The sequence below is a fragment of the Homo sapiens genome, chromosome 2 (assembly GCF_000001405.40).
Source record: "Homo sapiens chromosome 2, GRCh38.p14 Primary Assembly".
NCBI lineage: Eukaryota > Metazoa > Chordata > Mammalia > Primates > Hominidae > Homo > Homo sapiens.
In genome coordinates, this window is record NC_000002.12 from 175065322 (window position 1) to 175086586 (window position 21265).

At 35.8% G+C, this 21265-nt stretch overlaps 1 protein-coding gene across 12 annotated transcripts in view, besides 2 other annotated features; it reads right to left on the reverse strand.

Annotated features, from left to right (window-relative positions):
• Positions 136-368: a silencer, noted in NCBI's record as "fragment chr2:175930185-175930417 (GRCh37/hg19 assembly coordinates)". NCBI's record gives its function as "represses an EF-1alpha promoter that drives an FKBP-Casp9 reporter gene in an ReSE screen in HepG2 liver carcinoma cells {active_cell/tissue: HepG2}" and the evidence as "EXISTENCE:reporter gene assay evidence [ECO:0000049][PMID:32094911]".
• Positions 5826-6026: a silencer, noted in NCBI's record as "peak3938 fragment used in MPRA reporter construct". NCBI's record gives its function as "represses an SCP1 promoter by STARR-seq MPRAs in K562 erythroleukemia cells {active_cell/tissue: K562}" and the evidence as "EXISTENCE:reporter gene assay evidence [ECO:0000049][PMID:32103011]".
• Positions 6938-21265, reverse strand: part of ATF2 (activating transcription factor 2) — a 95945-nt gene continuing 81617 nt past the window's right edge. For 8 of the 12 annotated variants that reach the window (NR_045773.2, NR_045774.2, NR_045771.2 and 5 more), the window contains 2 exons: positions 15339-15444; positions 6938-9514 (listed from right to left, as the gene is read on the reverse strand). Coding sequence is in view for 5 of the 12 variants with exons in the window: in NM_001256092.2 (NP_001243021.1) it covers positions 9288-9514; positions 15339-15444 (333 nt within the window). In the remaining 7 variants the exon portion in view is untranslated. Of the gene's footprint in view, positions 9547-9678; positions 9767-15338; positions 15445-21265 lie in introns of all 12 variants that reach the window. The other 4 variants (NR_045770.2, NR_045768.2, NR_045769.2 and 1 more) reach the window with 3 other exon arrangements.

The following is a 21265-nucleotide window of genomic DNA, read 5'->3' on the forward strand; positions in this document are numbered from 1 at the left end:
CAGAAGGGAACATGCTTCCATGAAAGGAAGGACCCAGTCCTGGCAGAATCCTACTAACTGAAGAGCCTTTGGGCCCTGAATAACCAGCAGCGATACTCAGGTACTATGTTGAGGGCCTTCAGTGAGCCTCTTGAAACTTGCTGGCTTCAGGCAAGTACAGCACATTCCCAGCTGTGGTGGCTATGGGGTTATGGGGTGAGATTCCTTCCACTTGAGAAAGTGGATGGAAAAGCAAAGGGGGGGTTTGTCTTCCACCTTAGATACCAGCTCAGCCATAGTGGGGTAGAGCACCAAGTAGGGTCTTGGGGTCCCCAATTCCAGGACGTGGCTCTTGGATGGCATTTCTGGACCTGCCTCAGCCAGAGGGGAGCCCACTGCCCTGAAGGGTGAGTCCCAGGGAAGGCAGCATTCATCACAATCTCACCTAAGAGCCCTTGGCCCTTAAGGGAACATTGGTGGCAGTCTTGAGGTACTCCCTGTGGGCCTGTGGTGGCAATGGCCACTTGGTGAGGCTCTTTTGCCTTTGGAATGGGTAGGGAAGAGTGTGAAGGACTGTGTCTTATGGTTTGAGTGCCAGTTGAGCCACAATACAATAGAACACCAGTCTTGGCAGGTAGACTTCTAACAGTTTTGACTCCAGTCCCTGGCTCCTGGATGGCACCTCTGGACAAGCCCAGGGCCTGGGTGAACTAACTTGCTACCCTGAAGAGAAGGACAGAGGCCTGAATAGCTTTGCCACCTGCTGATTTTAGAGCTCCAGGGCCTTGAGCAAACATAGGTCATAGCCAATGAGAGGTTATAGAAAGGTTGGGTGAGACCTGGTGCTGTGCTAGATTCAGATCTGACCCAGTGCAGTCCTAGTGTTTGTGGCCACAGGAGTGCTTGTGTCACACCACCCCCAGTTCCATATGGCTCAGAACAGAGAGAATGACTCCGTTCACGTAGGAAAAATTAAGAAAACAACAGTCTCCACCTGGTAATCCAGAGAGGTCTTCTGGATCTCATCCAAGAGCATTAAGGCAGTACCTCTACAAGTCTGCAAGAACCACAGCATTACTGGGCTTGGGGTGCCCCCTAAAACAGGTACAGCTTAGATCACAACACTCGAGTCCTTTCAAATATCTTGAAAGTGTTCCCAAAAAGGACAAACAAGCCCAGACTGAGTGTCTACAATAAATACCTAACTCTAAAATGCCCAGACGCTGAAGAACATCTACATGCATCAACGCCATCCAGGAAAACATGACCTCACCAAATGAACTAAAAAAGGCAATAGGGAGCAATCCTGGAGAAACAAAGATATTCTCTGACCTTTCAGAGAATTCAAAATAGCCATGCTTGAGGAAATGCAAAGAAATTCAAGATAACACAGAAAAGGAATTCAGAATTCTATCAGATACATTTAACAAAGAGATTAAAATGATTAAACAGAAACAAGCAGAAATGCTGGAGCTGAAAAATGCAATTGGCATACTGAAGAACACGAGTCTTTTAATAGCAGAAATGATCAAGCAGAAGAAAGAATTAGTGAGCTTAATTTGAAAATACAGAGAGGAGAAAAAAGAAGAAAGATAAAAAACCAATGAGGAATGCCTACAGGATCTAGAAAACAGCCTCAATAGGGCAAATCTAAGAGTTATTGTCCTTATAGAGGAGGTAGAGACAGAGATAGGGGTAGAAAGTTTATTCAGCAGGATAACAGAGAATTTCCTAAACCTGAATAAAAATATCAATATACAAGTAAAAAGATTGAAGCTGTAATAAAGTCTCCCAGTAAAGAAATGCCCAGGGCCTGATGGCTTCACTGTTGAATTCTACCAAATGTTCAAAGAAGAACTAATACCAATCCTACTCAAACTATTCCAAAAAATAGAGAAGGAAATACTTCTAAACTCATTCTATGAGGCCAGTATTACCCTGATACCAAAACTAGACACACATACAACATAAAAAGAAAACTACCAGCCAATATGTCTGATGAATATTGATGCAAAAATCCTCAACAAAATAATAGCAAACCAAATTCAGTAATGTATTAAAAGATCATTCAACATGACCAAGTGGGATTTATTCCTGGGGTGCAAGCATGGTTTAACATATGCAAATCAATCAATGTGATGCATCACATGGACAGAATGAAGGATAAAAACCATATGATCATTTCAATTGATGATGAAAAAGCATTTGATAAAATTCAACATCCCTTCATGATAATAACCCTCAAACAACTGGGTATAGAAGGAACATACTTCAACATAATAAAAGCCATATATGAAAGACCCACAGCCAGTATCATACAGAATGGGGGAAAGCTGAAAGCCTTTTCTCTGAGATCTGGAACATGACAAGGATGCCCACTGTCAACACTGTTATTTAACATAGGACTGGAAGTCCTAGCTAGAGTAATCAGACAAGAAATAAAGAGCATCCAAATTTGAAAGGCAGAAGTCAAATTATCTTTGTCTGCAGATGCTATGATCTTATATTTAATAAAACCTAAAGACTACACCAGAAAATTATTAGGACTGATAAATTTAGTAAAATTGCAGGACACAACATCAACATATAAGAATCAGTAGCATTTCTATATGCCAGCAGTGATGAACAATCTGAAAAGGAAATAAAAAATGTAATACCACTTACAATAACCACAAATAAATACCTAGGAATTAATTTAAGATGTGAAAGATTGCGATATTGAAAACTATCACATGCTGATGCAAGAAATTGAAAAGGACACCAACAAATGGAAAGATATTCTATATTCATAGACTGGAAGAACCAATATTGTTAAAATGTTCATACTACCCAAAGTGATCTACAGATTCAACGCAATCCCTATCAAAATACCAATCACATTCTTCACAGAAATAGAAAAACAATCCTTAAACGTACATGGAAGCACAAAAGACCCAAAATAGCCAAAGCTTTCCTAAGCAAAAAGAACAAAACTTGAGGAATCATATTACCTGACTTCAAATTATACCATAGAGCTATAGTAGTCCAAATAGCATGGTACTGGCATAAAAAGGCACATAGACCAATGGAATATAATAGTGAACCCAGAAATAAATCCAGACATCTATAGTGAACTCATTTGCAACAAAGGTGACAAAAACACACTGGAGAAAAGACAGTCTCTTCAACAAACGGTGCTGGGAGACATGGATATCCATATGCAGAAGTATGAAACTACACCCCTCTCTCATCATATAAAAAAATCAAATAAAAATGAATTAAAGACTGAAATCTAAGACCTCTTAACTATGAAACTACTACAAAAAAAATTGGGGAAATTCTCTAGGACATTGGTCTGGGCAAAAATTTATTGAGTAACATCCCACAAGCACAGGCAACCAATGAAAAAATGGACAAATGGAATCACATTGACTTAAAAAGCTTGCACAGCAAAAAACAAAAACAAAAAACCCAAAAAACAAAAAGCAAACAAAAAAACAATCAACAAAGTGAAGAGACAACCCACAGAATGGGAGAAAATATTTGCAAACTACCTGTCTGAAAGAGATTTATAACCAGAATATATAAAAACCTCAACTAGATCTACAGGAAAAAAATCTAAAAATCTGATTTTAAAATGGGCCAAAGATTCGAATAGACATTTCTCAAAAGAAGACATACAAATGGCAAACAGGCATATATGAAAAGGTGTTCAACATCACTATCAACAGAGAAATGCAAATCAAAACAATCAGATATCCTCTCACCCCAGGCAAAATGGCTTTTATCCAAAAGACTGCAGTAACAAATGCTGGCAAGGACATAGAGAAAAGGGAATCCTCATACAATGTTGGTGGGAGTGTAAAAGTATAGCCACTGTGGAGAACAGTTTGGAGGTTCCTCAAAAACCTAAAAATAAAGCTACCATATGATCCAGTAATCTCACTGCTAGGTGTATACCTAAAAGAAAGGAAGTCAGTATATTGAAGAGCTATCCGCATTCCCATGTTTGTTGCAGTTCTGTTTGCAATAGCCAAAATTTAGAAGCAACCAATGTGTCCATCAACAGATCAATGGAAAAAGAAAATGTGGTAACTACATAATGGAGTCATAAAAAAGAATGAGATCTTGCTATTTCCAACAACATGGATGGAACTGGGGGTCATTATGCTAAGTGAAATAAGCCAGGCACAGAAAGATATATATCACATCCCCTCACTTTGTGGGTTCTAAAAATAAAAACAATTTAACTTATGGGGCAGAGAACAGAAGAATGGTTACCAGAGGCTGGGAAGGGCAGTGGGAGGGTGAGTAGGAAGTGGGGATGGTTAACGGGTACAAAAAAATATAACGAATGAAGACCCAGTATTTGATAATACAACAGGGGGACGATAGTCAATACTTTAATTGTACATTTAAAAATAACTGAAATAATTGATTTGACACACAAAAGATAAATACTTGAGGGGACGAACATCCCATTTTTACATGATGTGATTATGCATTGCATGCCTGTATCAAACATCTCATGTGCCCCATAAATATATATGCCTACTATAAATGCATAAAAAATGGAAAATTTATAAAAATTTGCCTAATTTTTGGGTCAGCCTATGAAAAATAGCATCTCTTCTTAATTTACATGCTTTTAAAAATTATTAAGGAAAAATAACTTTAAAAGAAGCTGTTTTGGGGGAATATTCTGTTTTTTTCTATTAATACTTTCCTAGAAAGCAAAATATACTGCAAAATGACTAAAGCCAATTCTTGACATAACTGCCATAGTTAAAATTTGAGATTCAGAGTAAGAAATATTTTCCCAAATAACTGAGATAAAGCCTGATAACACCAATACAATTGTTTTGTTCAAAAATTTATGTCTCAAGAAATGATGTCTCACATGTAAAATCTAATGCAACACAGAGACAAGGGAAGGCACTGTGACCATGACAAGGGTGTACTAGCAACACTAATGAAAATGAGGTGTCTTCTCTTCTTGGAAAGCCACTAGAAGAACTTGCATGTACATTTGAAGAAAAATGATGCAAGCCACTTGCCCATTAACAGAGCCCTTCTGGTTTGATTGCTGTGACATATTTGATATTTTTACAATTAACCTTTGATTTGGACTACAATAGAAAACTATGCATGCTTTTTCTTCCATTGTAGGTTCCAATGCCACATGGCCTTTGCTATTTCAGATTAAGTCTTTTAATTTTGGAAACATTTTCACTGATGGCACCTATTCTACGGCAATGTATGTAACTTGCAACTCATCATTTATATTTAAATGGTAGAACCATTTATTTCTTCAGAAAGGACTTTAGAAATATTCTAAACTTTGAGATTTTTTTTCCACACAGAAGGATGCTAGCTGTCTAGGATCTTAATACCAAACTATTAACTCTATGAACACCCACATTTCAATATATAGTTACTGATAATCTGGAAAGACTTGCTGTTGTTTTAAGCCATGTGAGACAATTACAGGAAAAGTTCATTTGCTTTGATAACTGTGTTCTCTAGGTATTTTGGGTGTCTGTGTTTGTTCATGTCTATCTAAGATGAGGGCCTTGGAATAAATAGGATTCTCTCATGATAATCTCAAATATGGTCATCCATCATATCCTATAGTCTCATAGATGTAGAATTAGCAAAACTACATTTAATAGTAAGCACACACCATAGACGAGATTATCTTTCCTGTCCTCTGAAGTCAAGACTAACATGAGTTTGACCTTTTGTTAACCTGTTTGATCATTTGTTAACCTGTTATAGAAATACATCAGCTTGCCTTCATGAAACTTTTTATCTATATCACATAATCTACCTTAAGCACATTGGTAGAATGTTTGTTAAAAAATAGCCATGCATCTCCTCAGATTGGTCATATCTAACAGATATGACTAAAACGGTCACTCTACACACTCTCCAGCAAAACTGGTGTAAGTCTGCTTCTTCACTTAGCTTGCACCACTTCTAATATAACACATAACTGACTTGTTGATTGCATTTCCCAACATCCTCCCACCATCTTTAGAACGTGGCCTCCACAAAGGCAGAGATTTTTGCTTTTGGCCATTGTGTTACTTCAAGTGCTTAGAGCAACCTCTGGCACCTAGTAGCACTCAAATGTTCACTGACAAAACAATGTGGCAGATGAGGTCAGAGACACAATGGGATGGGATATGGAATAAATCATCTCTGGGCTTTGTGGGCCGTCTTCAAGTTCTGAGTGAAACAGGGGAGCCACTCCAGGATTCTAGGCAGAGCAGTGCTGTAACCTGACAAAAGTTTTAAAAGCATCGCTCTGGCTGCTGTATTGAGGATGGGCTGTGGTGGGCAGGGGTGAAAGTGAAAAGACATTTATGAAGCAAGTACAGTAACTGGATGAGGAATCATAAAGGCACAGATTAGGATGAAAGTGGTATAAATGGTGATATGTGGTTGAATTCTGGATTGTTTTGAGGGGAAAGCAAATAGTATTTCTTGACGGACTGGATGTGGGCTGAGAGAAAGAAAATCAAGGGTGACAACAAGGTTGTTCTAGCTTAAGCAACTTGAAGAATTGTATTGTCATCAATTGACTTGTGAAAGTTTGTGGGAGAAATGTTTGAGGGTAGGGTGAGCTGTTTAGCAGTTCAGTGTTGGACATGTTATGTTTCAGATGTTTTGTCAGGCCATCACCAAGGGATGCCAAAGGCAGGTGGATCTGTGACTAAAGTTCAGGGGTGTGGGGAATTACATATGAATTATATAATTATATAATTCATTATATATAAATGGGATGCAAAGTGAGTGCAGAGAGGAATAAGGCCCAAGTACCCTGCAGTTAAAAGGAATGAATGAATTTTATCACAGAACTAGAAAGAATCTCAGGTTCTTCTCAGTTAATAAATGTCCTGAAGGAAAAAAAAAATCATTATCTGGTGATGTTACTTTATGAAGGAAAGGTAAGAGAACAAGCAAATTATGAACATAATTTAAAGATAGAATTTATTCTCTGATGGTTTACTCATGCAAACTGCACATAAAAGAAAATAGTACAGTTTGTGTAACATTGCAAATATAAGGACTGAAAATGCTAGGTACAGAAGTAGTATGACATCCTGAAAGTCAAAATGGAATTTGTGTTTATACAACTAATAATGATTTTTATTTGCTCAGTACAGACTGATTTACAATGAAAGTTTTGCTAACCTTGGTAAGCTTGTTAACCGTTTACATGACTTCTTACATCTATGTAGTTTTATTTTACAGTTGCAAGAATTCTGTTACCAAAGAACCTTAACTTGCATAAGTAATAAGATGAAAGAAAAATGTACTGAAGGACTTAAGAGTGAAAAATTGAGGCTTTTCCTAACCCATTCAAACTACAATAAAAAATAGCCTTCTTGCAGAATTCATATTTTGTGCCTTTGAGATAACTCCTTAGAATAATGATATCAAAATCATGATTTGAAAAACTGATTACTTTAAAATAATGAAATTAGTTAAAAATTAAAAATTTAAAAAAAATTATCAAATAAAAATGCTCTCATTTTAAAAAGCAAAACAATAAAATTCCCATTATCTTCATACTTAAAGTCCTGAAATGTCATTTATATAATTTGAATGTTTCCCAGTTTGGAACTTAGGCAGGAGGGATATTTCCTTGAATTATCAAGGATATTCCATACAGACTTTTAAAATGTCAGTCTCATTAGGAGATGGCACTGAGACTTTAGCAAATAGTGTAGTATGGATGCAGGACAAACTACACAACTTATTATAAATGCATTACAGATATTTACATAGTGGAATCCTGCTTGAATGCCAGAAGTTGCTACTGGGTAGGACTCATAACTATTTTACAAAGTTTTCTTACGCACATCTACTACTTTTAAAATTTTATGTTTAACAATTTATTCTATTTTAAAATATGTACTGTATTTTGAACATAACTGCAGAATAAAAATAGATAATGGCACATTAGAAAACTAAGTATCCCACAGATGATTGGATAATGAGAAAAATGTACCTACAATCATCTCATCAGAAACAAGCTACATCATGGAATGTTAGTTATCCAAGCCTGCACAATAATGACATTTTAAACTGCAATCATCTATTGGCCAGCATCACACTGAAGGCATCGTTAAACATTCAAGCAAAGATTGCTGGCATAAACTATTAAAAGACACACACACACGCGCACACACACACAGATACACACACACTCTCTCTCATTCATGCACACTTCCCACATTATAATTACATTGTTCTAAAGATAGATACTGATTTTTTTTTCCACGAGAAACATTATCAAAATTTGCTACTAAAAGATGACAGTGCTTTCACAAGAATAGTACAAGTTAGCTCGCAAGTACAAGACAATGGGGGTAAACAGTCTTAAATTTTCTAAGTAGTAATTTTAGGCTTTTCTGGCAACCATACCATACTTAATTATGCATAAACTTTGCAGTTTGTAACCTGAAATCTGTAAAAACAACAACAAAAAAACCAAAAACAAGAGCTAATTTCAAAAATTATTAGATATTTGATAACCCTGTATCATACATTATATAATTTCATATTTTTAGCCTCAAAACATAGGTGTAAAATATTGAATTTAAGACTTGAAAAATAAAATCATTTTTGAAATGCTGAAAATTCTAAAATTTGTTTACTTAAAATCTTAAATAAAAAAGGAAAATGATTATAAATGACCTTGATTTAGCTTAACAATGTGCATAAAAGCACTGTATGTCTTTACCATGTTTTCACTCACTTAAAAAAAAGTGTTCTTTAATGTTTTTCCTTTTGCATAATGTGCAAAATAAAAGGCAAAAAGATTAAAAGCAAATTTCTATCTTTCTCTTGCCTAGTGCTTTTATGACTCCGTTAACATTACAAAGTCAACAGGGACTATGCAAAACTTTGGTATAAATGATAATACTACTACCGTCACAGTTGAGGGTTAAGGGGTGGTCAAAAGAAATGGAAGTGGGAAGAAAGATTCAGTAACACCCCCATTTATTAAAACACCAGCAAATTAAAAGTGAAATAAATCACAATGAATTATAATACAATTTACACATTGAGCACAGAAAAATTAATAAATCTAATAATATTTATAAAAAAAGCAAAATCAGTCTTTTTCCAGAGACTAAAAACCGTTTTTCAGTCTGATCAACTGCTGCTACACCAACTTTAGAGCCAAATTTAATTTCAAGTAAAAAAAAAAAATTTACAACCACAGATTTCGCATAAATGGAAACTGGTCTTTCCTTGATTTCCCTTTGAAGTCACTAATGAGTATCTAAAACTGTTGTACTGCAGGTTTTTAATCAACTTCCTGAGGGCTGTGACTGGGAGGAAGGAGCCATAACGATCTGTGAAAGAGCAGGCTCTGTACTCTGGTCCGCCATCTGGGTGAGGACTGAAGTGGCTACAGCTTCTGCCTTGGAGGTTGAACTGACTCCATTGGATGTGCTGACCGAACTATGCTGTATAGCTTCTGTATGTGGACTACTCGGCACTGAAATGTCTTCTGAACTATCATCTTTATCAGCAGCTGGGTGGAAAAAAGAAAAATTATTCATTTTCCTAAAATCGGTAAGAATGCACCAGTATGCTGAGGCAATACACAGAGTAAAAAGTTAGAAAGTATCTTACAAAACTGATTAGACAAGTTGGTATTACAGCAATTGATATAGGTCATGAAGTAGGCAATTTTACCTGCAATAGGTCAAAAGAAGGCACAACCATGCATATGGAAACATCTGGGTGCCCACTGCCTTATGGAATAGAGCTGAAGAAATATTTGCTAAATAGTGTTAAAGAAAGAAAATGAGGGAGAGTTTGGAAGATAGTCTCTTACAGATACAATCAAACATTAAGTATCACATTTAACAAACTCAGTCTGGTTGGCCTACATGTCATTCTTATTACAAGATAAAAATGTATAACCACATGCATAAACAAAATGAATTCTTACATACAAATTATATCTTCAAATTATTCCCTCTGCATTCTCCAGAACTGTATTTATTCTGACTGATTTTCCATCTATTGCAGCCATGGATGATTATAACACCTGATTCTAATGATGCATACATAGGAGAACAAGCAGTATTTAGAATCTAAATGCCACCAGCTGTTATAGTTGCATGAATAAATTGGGATTCAAGTAAAAATCCATATAAAACTCTAAACATTGCATCTGAAAAGATATTAAGGAAAGGGCATTCTAAATATTTACGAAAATAAATCTGCAAATATTTAGACCTGAACAAGTCTCTTACATCCTTATTTTAATAGAACAGAATCCAGTAATTTCATTTAGTAAAAATTTGATATAGATAACACACAAATATTTATAGTATATGTAAGTTATGAGGAACAATGATAACATGAACACCTGGGAACCGAGCCGCCAACTTAAGAGAGAACATTGCCATTAACACTTCTGCTTCCTGGAGGTTCCTGTCCTCACCAAAGGTAATCACCACTCTGACATTTCTTTAACCATTCTCGTTTTTTCTCTGCAGTTTTACCACATAGGCATGTATCCCTAAACAATATAGTTCAGCTTTGTTTATTTTGAAACATTTTAAAAACAGTATCACACTGGATGTATTCTTTTGCACCTTGCTTTTTTCACTTGGCATTAAAACTTTTTTTATTCAGTGTTTAGGAGTGACAGTAAATAGGCTTCTAAAATCAAATCTAAGAATGTGTATTGGCCTGCTTACTAATGGCCAGATGCCCATTCTGAAAGTCAATTAGTGAAAAAAATTGTGGACATCTTATGAAGCAGGACTTAGCCTATGATTTGCAATGTAGAAGATGGAGAGGGGGATACCTGGTAGTGTCAACTTTAGCTAAAATAAAATTATTAATTTTGTGCATTTTCTGAAATATAGTTTTTACAGAATTTTTCAACATCTGCCTCAAATCCATGCATTTTTGAAAAGCAGGTTTTAAAATACATTAATGAGATGGAACCCCATCTTCTCTATAACATGCTATAAATCAAAACCATACCCCTAGATACTTGACCTCAAGGTACAATAAAACAACACCACCACCACCACCAACCACCAGAAGTAGTAATCCTTTAAAAATTATATAAAACAGAATGAATACTTAAAAAAAATTATAGATTCAGATGGTACATATGCAGGTATGTTACATGGGTATATTGTGCAATCCTGGGGTTTGGGCTTCTATTGAACCTATCACCAAAATAGTGAACATAGCACCCAACAGGTCGTTTCTCAACTAGTGCCCCTCTCCTTCACCCCCCTACTTTTCTGATCAAGCAGTAATGAATGTTATAAAATATTTATAATTCAGTTATTAAAATAGCCAATATAATCATTACATAATCATTACATGTATATAGAAAACAAAATACTGGCAATGACAGTTTAACTGGAGGGAATACTAAAAAGCTCTATTTGTTTTGTTTCACCACTATTCTTTTTTTTTTTTAAGTATTTATATGTGATTTTTAAAATTTTTTTATTTTTATCACTTTTTAAAAATTATACTTTAAGTTTTAGGGTACATGTGCACAACGTGCAGGTTAGTTACATACGTATACATATGCCATGTTGGTGTGCTGCACCCATTAACTCGTCATCCAACATTAGGTATATCTCCCAATGCTATCCCTCCCCCCTCCCCCCACCCCACAACAGGCCCCGGTGTGTGATGTTCCCCTTCCTATGTCCATGTGTTCTTATTGTTCAATTCCTACCTATGAGTGAGAACATGCAGTGTTTGGTTTTTTGTCCTTGCAATAGTTTGCTGAGAATGATGGTTTCCAGCTTCATCCATGTCCCTACAAAGGACATGAACTCATCATTTTTTATGGCTGCATAGTATTCCATGATGTATATGTGCCACATTTTCTTAATCCAGTCTATCATTGTTGGACATTTGGGTTGGTTCCAAGTGTTTGCTATTGTGAATAGTGCTGCAATAAACATACATTTGCATGTGCCTTTATAGCAGCATGATTTATAATCCTTTGGGTATATACCCAGTAATGGGATGGCTGGGTCAAATCGTATTTCTAGTTCAAGATCTCTGAGGAATCGCCACACTGACTTCCACAATGGTTGAACTAGTTTACAGTCCCACCAACAGTGTAAAAGTGTTCCTATTTCTCCACATCCTCTTCAGCACCTGTTGTTTCCTGACTTTTTAATGATCACCATTCTAACTTCACCACTATTCTTTAAAAGAACAACAGGCTGACGTTTCCCTGAATGTTGAGTTCAAGGGACACACCAGCTTTTAAAAATAAAGAGGCTGATCTGTGATGAGTGGTATAAGGAAACGTAAATACATACTGGAGTCAACAACTTAAAATGAAACAGTAAATTATAAGGGATGAATGCTTACCTACAGACTTTCAGAATTAGGTAAAGCAAATCTTTAAGCAGTACAAAGAATCAGGTACTCACAATTATGTAATTATAAACCTTACATACACATCAAATACCTTTACAATGTGATATATTTGCACCTATGTCCAGTTCTAGGTGAGGGGAGAAAATGACTGGTGTAATCACAAGCACTAGAGAGATACAGAAAACCATGCTGTACTCAAAGAGCCACTTCCAGCTCTACCTAAGCTAAAAGAAACCAGCTGTTTGGCAATTCAGTAATCTTGAAAGTTCTCTACCTATGTCCACAAGTTTCTTTTCCTTATTTGAGATAGGGTCTCCCTGTCGCCCAGGCTGGAGTGCTATGGCACGATCACAGCTCACTGCAGCCTTGAACTCTTGGGCTCAAGTGATCCTCTTGCCTCAGCCTCCCAAGTAGCTGGGACTATAGGTGTGTGCCAAAATGCCTGGCTTTTTTAAACTTTATTTTTTGTAGAGATGGGGTCCCGCTATTTCACCCAGACTGGTCTTGAACTCATGGGTTCAAACAATCTTCCCGCCTTGGCCTCCCAAAGTGTTGGGCTTACAAGGGATGAGCCACAGTGCCTGGCCTATACATATTTTCAGTAATAAAAGTATTTGTGGTTGATTAGTCCCCAAGAAGCTTTTCTTCCCATTTATAATTATAGAGACAATTATAATACAACTTTAATTATGCCCAGATCTAAAGAATGTGAATTCATGGCAATAAGATCACTTTTGTGCTTTATTTTTCATGGAACCCAAATATTTAAAATGTACTCTTAGTATTTTCATTCAGGTTTTATATTACTTAACTGTTGGGGTGACTAACTGTCATGGTTTTCCCACGACTGAGGGGTCTTCTTAGGAAGTAGGACTTTCAGTGCTAAAACTGGGCGGGACAGACCCTATGGCTGTGACTTAGTACTTCCACCTTTACTTGAAAGATTTTGTAACATTCCTTAATTTCTACTAAATCTTAGTTTTGATTCCCAAATGTTTTTAAAGATTTAGCTAGTATTACAACTCACCACTGTTAGCAAGAGCTGTGTGCTACAACATAATGAAGAGTGTAAATTTTTCAAAGGTATTCACTTAGTCAATTTCTGTATCTATTTTTACTACTACACAACAGAGAAGTCAGACTTATTTCAAAGATTTCAAACTTGAAAATATAAATTACCTGAAAATTTCTACAAAATCCAATTATCTCCCAAGATCTGAAGAGAATTAATTTTATGGTAGAACTATATTTCAGTTAATTTGATTATCTACATGACTAGACAGGAATAAAGATAGGATTATTTCCAAACAACAAACATATCCTATTCATTTCTTATATTCTCATAACTTAGTACTCTATGTACTAAAAATGTATTAATCTAGATTTTCAGTCATTTAAGTATACAGTATATAAACCTACGCATCTATACACTTAAGATATCTTGTAAATCAATTGTCAAATGAATAACTGGTTTGCATCTGCTGAGCATACATTGCCTGGATAATAGAGTCAAAACTGTTGGGATTATCTAATAAATTATCAAAGATTTAAAAATTACAGGTAATTCTGAATTGGATACAATTTAAGAGAACAGTTAATTTCCTTTTAATTTTATAAAACAATTTATTTCCTTTTAAACTATGAAAATCCAAGAGAGATTTCTTGTTAAGAAAATCACGTATGCATAAATGCTGAACTAGTAGCTTCTATAGGAAATTATGTTGTTAAGTCAGATGGGAACCATAATGGCCTCATCCCTGAAGCAATCATTGTTAATATAAATCCCAAACATATTTCTATATGGTTCCAATTTACTCCAATGTGTTTCACCATCCTGTCAAAATTACTAGATATCAAATAAGCAAGATTTATATGCTCAAAACTGACAAAAATCAGCGTTCTAAATATATATGGCAATTGAGAGTAGCTAAATCTACGGAATCTTTTAAATTAAAAAATATTGCCCATTCTGATGAAACTGCTTATAATGACTACAAGTAAAGATGGTGGCCATTAAGTTTTATCGTGAGCACCTGAGGAACTGTTTGCATCCAATACAAAATGTTTCTTTCTTTTGAATTACTGACACTGGCAAATTAAAATGAAGTGGATACATATGGTTGAAACAATCTTCACATTTACTAATATCCTGAAATATCACTAAATCATAAAGACTAAAACTGTGGGTTATATATTATAAATGTTGCCTAATGCATTCCCAACTCTGTTGTTTGTTACAAATTTGTATACTATGGACAAAATTGGCCATTTATTCAAGAGTAACAGCTGGTTCCAACACTGTGCATCTTATCAAAAAAGAAGGACATTACAAAAAGGAAAAGGCACAATTAACCTTTAAAATGCTGAAAACAAAAGAATCTCATTCTTTGGGAAAACATTTAGCAGGAAATTTACAAGCAGATAATTTAACTACTGTTCCCGTTTTAACATTTTTATAAACTAACTAGATATCTCAATATAAAGGTTTACAACAATAAAAACGTTACACAATGCTGACATTATCTAAGAAAGAACAATAGGATCTGATACCTTAAAGGGATATCATATATTGTTAAAGGCAGTCAGCTGATTTTAAAAAGAAAAATATCATCATTAATGAACGGAGGCTGGGAAAAAAGTAGTGTTTCACCCTGTCAATCTAAGACAAAGTGTTATCCTGAGAAGATGAACAAAATATCATCAAGTACTTACAGTATATTTTAAATTATTAGCTAATCCATTTTGTTGATCTATAGTAACGCTTAGGAAAAAAGCTAGAAACAGGAAAACTCAAACTCTCTAGATTCTAAAAAATTATACCTCTCTACTGCATTCTATAATAACCTTACAGAAATTCTGATATTTAATCTTGAATATTAGAAGCACAGTCTCCATTTTTAAAGTAGCAGCTCAGTTCACTCTGACGGTATTTCACTGACGTAGCCTAAGGCTATAGGTAATGGAACATTACTCACTATGATAGCCAGATTTCTTCTGCATGGCGGTTACAGGGCAATCTTTATGAGCCAGAAGAAGCTGTTTCAGCTGTGCCACTTCATTTCTCAGCAGGGTGACTTCACTCTGGAGAAGAAACAACTTATGTACCTTACCACAGACTAAACATATTTTTTACTATTTAAAACAAGCAAGGATTAAAGTATAAAATTGGACATCACTGGCAGAACATTAAAAACAAAGAAAATATGCTGATTAAATATGTCTAATCAGCACAGGGCAGCTTTTATATTTTAGCATTTATTAAAAAGCTGTAACTTGAATAAAAATTTAAGATAATGCCACAGCTGGATAGCATATTTCAAAATTGTTTCCATTTCCCTGGGACTTCTTATATATTATTGGTGACCTGTTGAAAGTATTTTTATTTTATATATGTTGCATGCTCTTCTGATTATTTAAAAAGAAACATCAAGGGAGTCAGGATGAATTTTCACTGATTCCATTCACCTAAAAATGAAAAAAATCATCCTAGAAATTCAAATAAGCAAGTTTCCAGTTTCCTAGAAACCAAGAAAAGCTCCACAGGGGAAACCAAAATAACCAAAGAATCATGGATACCTAAAATTCACTGCAAGGCACTCTTGCTGGACACTGAAACCAATGAAACTAGATATAACATTTAAATGGCTTAGCTGCCTTTGACCCAGGCAATTTGTACACATCTAAATTTAAATCTGCTAAGTCAATGGAGATTTGTCCTAATCTTCAGAATGAGTACTTCAGCCATTGTTTGGGATACATTAATCTGGTAAAAAGTTCCAAATTGAGCAAGTCCGACTAATTCCTTTGAGTCACCCCGAATATTAAAAACACGTAAGTCAGTGATCATTACCAATACTCAAGAGTTAGAAATAATATGAATTTAATAAACTGGTAATATAAAAAATTCTTAGCTTACAAATACTTCTACTTACTTGGACTCACACAGTAACTATAACCATTCAGATTTCATCCATGAACCAAAAAGTAAATTAGAAAATATAGCAAACAGGTGTACATAAAAGCTGAGGCATGACATTTTCTACCTTGTTTCTTAAGCAGAAAGCTGAATGTAAAATAATTTAGCAGGCTGACACGGTGGCTCACGCCTGTGATCCCAGCACTTTGGGAGGCCGAGGCAGTTGTATCACTTGAGGTCAGGAGTTCAAGACCAGCCTGGCCAACATGGTGAAACCCTGTCTCTACAAAAAATACAAAAATTAGTTGGGCGTGGTGGAGGGTACTTCTAATCCCAGCTACTCACTACTCTGGAGGCTGAGGCAGGAGAACTGCTTGAACCCAGGAAGCAGAGGCTGCAGTGAGGTGAGATTGTGCCACTGTACTCCAGCCTTGGTGACAGAGTGAGACTCCGTCTCAAAAAAAATAAATGAAATAATTTAGCAGACTTGGGCCTCCTTAAGTGATAAGTGACAGAAACATAAAAATTAAATAATAAAAGTTAAGCAATCTAAAGGCAAGTCTATTGGGTCAAACAGTTCCTCACACCCCAATAACAATGAACTACATCACTGTATTTAAGTACAGAACAAAAATTGATGCTCATAATAACTCTAAACCGTTAATTAAAAGATTAAATGATTTAGAATATTGTATTTGAGGCAAGAATGGGTAGATAGTAATCAAAGTACAAAAGGTAAAATTTAAAACAGTTTGGCTTGAAAAGATAAGCTGTCATTTAGGAAACACCTTCTCCAACTGGTGTCAATACTGCTAATTATAGTTCAGTATAAATGACACTATTGATGAAACCATGTTATGAATAATCCAATGTATATTACCCAATGTATATTACCCATCCTGTCAGCTTGATTTTGAGACTGATGTCTACAAGTTTCTCTCATTAAATCCTGTAACAGGAAATGGGCTGGATATTTATTTTTACTCAAGAATATACAATCTTTTACAATCTGGTGATGGTGAACATAATGATTTTCAACTCTCACTGCTCTTCCAACATACTCTATCCTTTAACACCAAACACTAGTGATGCTTCAAGCCTCTCATACCCTTGCTACCTTCACATTAGTTTGAACCATATGAAATAACCAGTATTTGTCTTGACTTACAAAAGTAAGTTTGAAATTGCTAGCTAAATACATACCGTTGTCTTTATCCCCTCTTCTTTGTCTTGCTAAATATTTTATTTAAGTGTCAACTCAGAACAGTTTAGAATGCATAGGAAAGCATTTCACAATTGCTTCAAAGAGAATAAAATACATAAGAATCCAACTTACAAGGGACGTGAAGGACCTCTTCAAGGAGAACTACAAACCACTGCTCAATGAAATAAAAGAGGATACAAACAAATGGAAGAACATTCCATGCTCATGGGTAGGAAGAATCAATATTGTGAAAATGGCCATACTGCCCAAGGTAATTTATAGATTCAATGCCATCCCCATCAAGCTACCAATGACTTTCTTCACAGAATTGGAAAAAACTACTTTAAAGTTCATATGGAACCAAAAAAGAGCCTGCATCGCCAAGTCAATCCTAAGCCAAAAGAACAAAGCTGGAGGCATCACGCTACCTGACTTCAAACTATACTACAAGGCTACAGTAACCAAAACAGCATGGTACTGGTACCAAAACAGAGATATAGATCAATGGAACAGAATAGAGCCCTCAGAAATAACGCCGCATATGTACAACTATCTGATCGTTGACAAACCTGAGAAAAACAAGCAATGGGGAAAGGATTCCCTATTTAATAAATGGTGCTGGGAAAACTGGCTAGCCATATGTAGAAAGCTGAAACTGGATCCCTTCCTTACTTATACAAAAATTAACTCAAGATGGATTAAAGACTTTAAGGTTAGACCTAAAACCATAAAAACCCTAGAAGAAAACCTAGGCATTACCATTCAGGACATAGGCATGGGCAAAGACTTCATGTCTAAAACACCAAAAGCAATGGCAACAAAAGCCAAAATTGACAAATGGGATCTAATTAAACTAAAGAGCTTCTGCACAGCAAAAGAAACTACCATCAGAGTGAACAGGCAACCTACAAAATGGAAGAAAATTTTCGCAACCTACTTATCTGACAAAGGGCTAATATCGAGAATCTACAATGAACTCAAACAAATTTACAAGAAAAAAACAAAGAACCCCATCCAAAACTGGGCAAAGGATATGAACAGACACTTCTCAAAAGAAGACATTTATGCAGCCAAAAGACACATGAAAAAAATGCTCATCACTGGCCATCGGAGAAATGCAAATCAAAACCACAATGAGATACCATCTCACACCAATTAGAATGGCAATCATTAAAAAGGCAGGAAACAACAGGTGCTGGAGAGGATATGGAGAAATAGGAACACTTTTACACTGTTGGTGGGACTGTAAACTAGTTCAACCATTGTGGAAGTCAGTGTGGCGATTCCTCAGGGATCTAGAACTAGAAATACCAATTGACCCAGCCATCCCATTACTGGGTATATACCCAAAGGACTATAAATCATGCTGCTATAAAGACACATGCACATGTATGTTTATTGCAGCACTATTCACAATAGCAAAGACTTGGAACCAACCAAAATGTCCAACGATGATAGACTGGATTAAGAAAATGTGGCACATATACACCATGGAATACTATGCAGCCATAAAAAATGATGTGTTCATGTCCTTTGTAGGGACAAGGATGAAAATGCAAATCATCATTCTCCGTAAACTATCGCAAGGACAAAAAAACCAAACACCACATGTTCTCACTCATAGATGGGAACCGAACAATGAGAACACATGGACACAGGAAGGGGAACATCACACTCTGGGGACTGTTGTGGGGTGGGGGGAGGGGGGAGGGATAGCATTAGGAGATATACCTAATGCTAAATGACGAGTTAATGGGTACAGCACACCAGCATGGCACATGTATACATATGTAACTAACCGGCACATTGTGCACATGTACGCTAAAACTTAAAGTATAAAAAAAAAAAAAAAGTTAAAAAAAAAAAGAATGCATAGGAAAATAAGTTAGGTGCCTATTTCTGGGTTCCCACAGCCACATACTTTTGTGTGTATACATATAGATCTCTTCCATAGTACTTATCACACTGGATTGTAACTTTTGGTGTACTTGCTTGCTACCTCTACCAGACTGGGAATTTCTTGAAGGCAGAACATATCTTTTCCTTGGTATCCCCAGAGCACAGCACATTGCCTGATATGGACTGAGTAGACAGACATATTTTAGAGAGGACCACGTAATTCTATGTCTAGGAGGTAAAAAATATCAAAGAAGGTGAAATGAAAAAGCTTAAATAATATGAATCTGGTCAGAGGTCCTAACTTCATCATTTATAGCAATAATCTCACCAATACAGCTACACTGTTAATTTTCTCAGTTATGTAAATTGGCATATTATGTAGTATCACCTCAATTACGGAACTCTAAAAATCACAAATGTCTTCTCTCTGAAACACTCTATACATTCATAATAAACCGTATTATGTAACAAAATGCTATATGTGACAAAAGTACTGAAAGTGTTATGTGTTGGCTAGCTAAGTGATATAAAATAAGTGATTTAAATATAGACTGGGTGTGGTGGCTCATGCCTGTAATCCCAGAACTTTGGGAGACTGAGGCGGGCAGATAACTTGAGGTCAGGAGTTTAAGACCAGCCTGGCCAACGTGGTGAAACCCTGTCTCTACTAAAAATATAAGAATTAGCTGGGTCTGGTGGCGCATGCCTGTAATCCCAGCGACTTGGAAGGCTGAGGCAGGAGAACTGCTTGAATTCAAGAGGTGGAGGTTGCACCACTGCATTCCAGCCTGGGCTACAGAGTGAGACTCAAGTCTCAAAAAAATAAAATAAATAAATAAATACATAACATACACACACACACACACACACACACACACACACACACACACACACAAATTCTCTCTTTAAATAGACAGGTCTGAAACTGATGAACAGGACATCAATTTCTACATTTCAAACTTAACGGTTGGTGGTATTCAGACTGTTGATCTAATTAGACTACCTGGTTTACTAACATATAGTTGTAACATGAAGATGCCAGTAGCTAGGAAAGGTTAATGAACATCAAGGACTGAAGAGGTACAGTACTTGATTCTTGCTACAACGTATATTTGTGCTAACTGAATTTTAATTGGCATTAACTTGGGGAAACAATGGAAAAGGCCAAGAAGAAGAAATTAAAAATAAAAACTTTTGCACATTCTTTTATTTTTTAATTTGTTACTCTTTGTTTTAAAAACTCTGCACATTCTTATATATAAATTTGCATGTATCTAAAAGGTATAATATACAAGCATGCTGTAAATTATATTTATCCAAAATTCAAATAACCAATTTTTTCCACTACACCTTTTAAATGGCAGAAATGGTTAAGAAATAAACCAACAAATTCAAGGTCTGCACAATACAAATTCAGTCCAATTTTTTACATTGTCCTGATCTAAAATGTTTTACAGTAACATTTTCCTAATGATGATTCTGAAGCTCAAAAGTGACTTTTGGATGACAGGTTACAAATTAAATATAACTTGTATTATTACTGTACTCTAATAGTCGATTTCATTAAAAGATGGTATCACCACTAGATTAAAAGCAGCAAATGAGACACAATTACTGGCTAGGAATTGGGACTGAGAGAAATACTGCAAAGCAAACATAGCTGGAGTGCAGTTTAGGCATGAGGGTGGGCCAAACCTTTAAGAAGTGGATTAGTTGAGCTGTACAGCCCTAGTAAGTATAAGCATATGCTAGTGGTCAAGACCAGGTCAAGCGTGGGTTGGAAATAGGATGCTCATGCTGGTAAAGGTTTTATAACTGAATTAGTTAGAAGAGACAAAAGCTGAGTGGTTCCTAAGTCATATATATATACACATTTATTTATT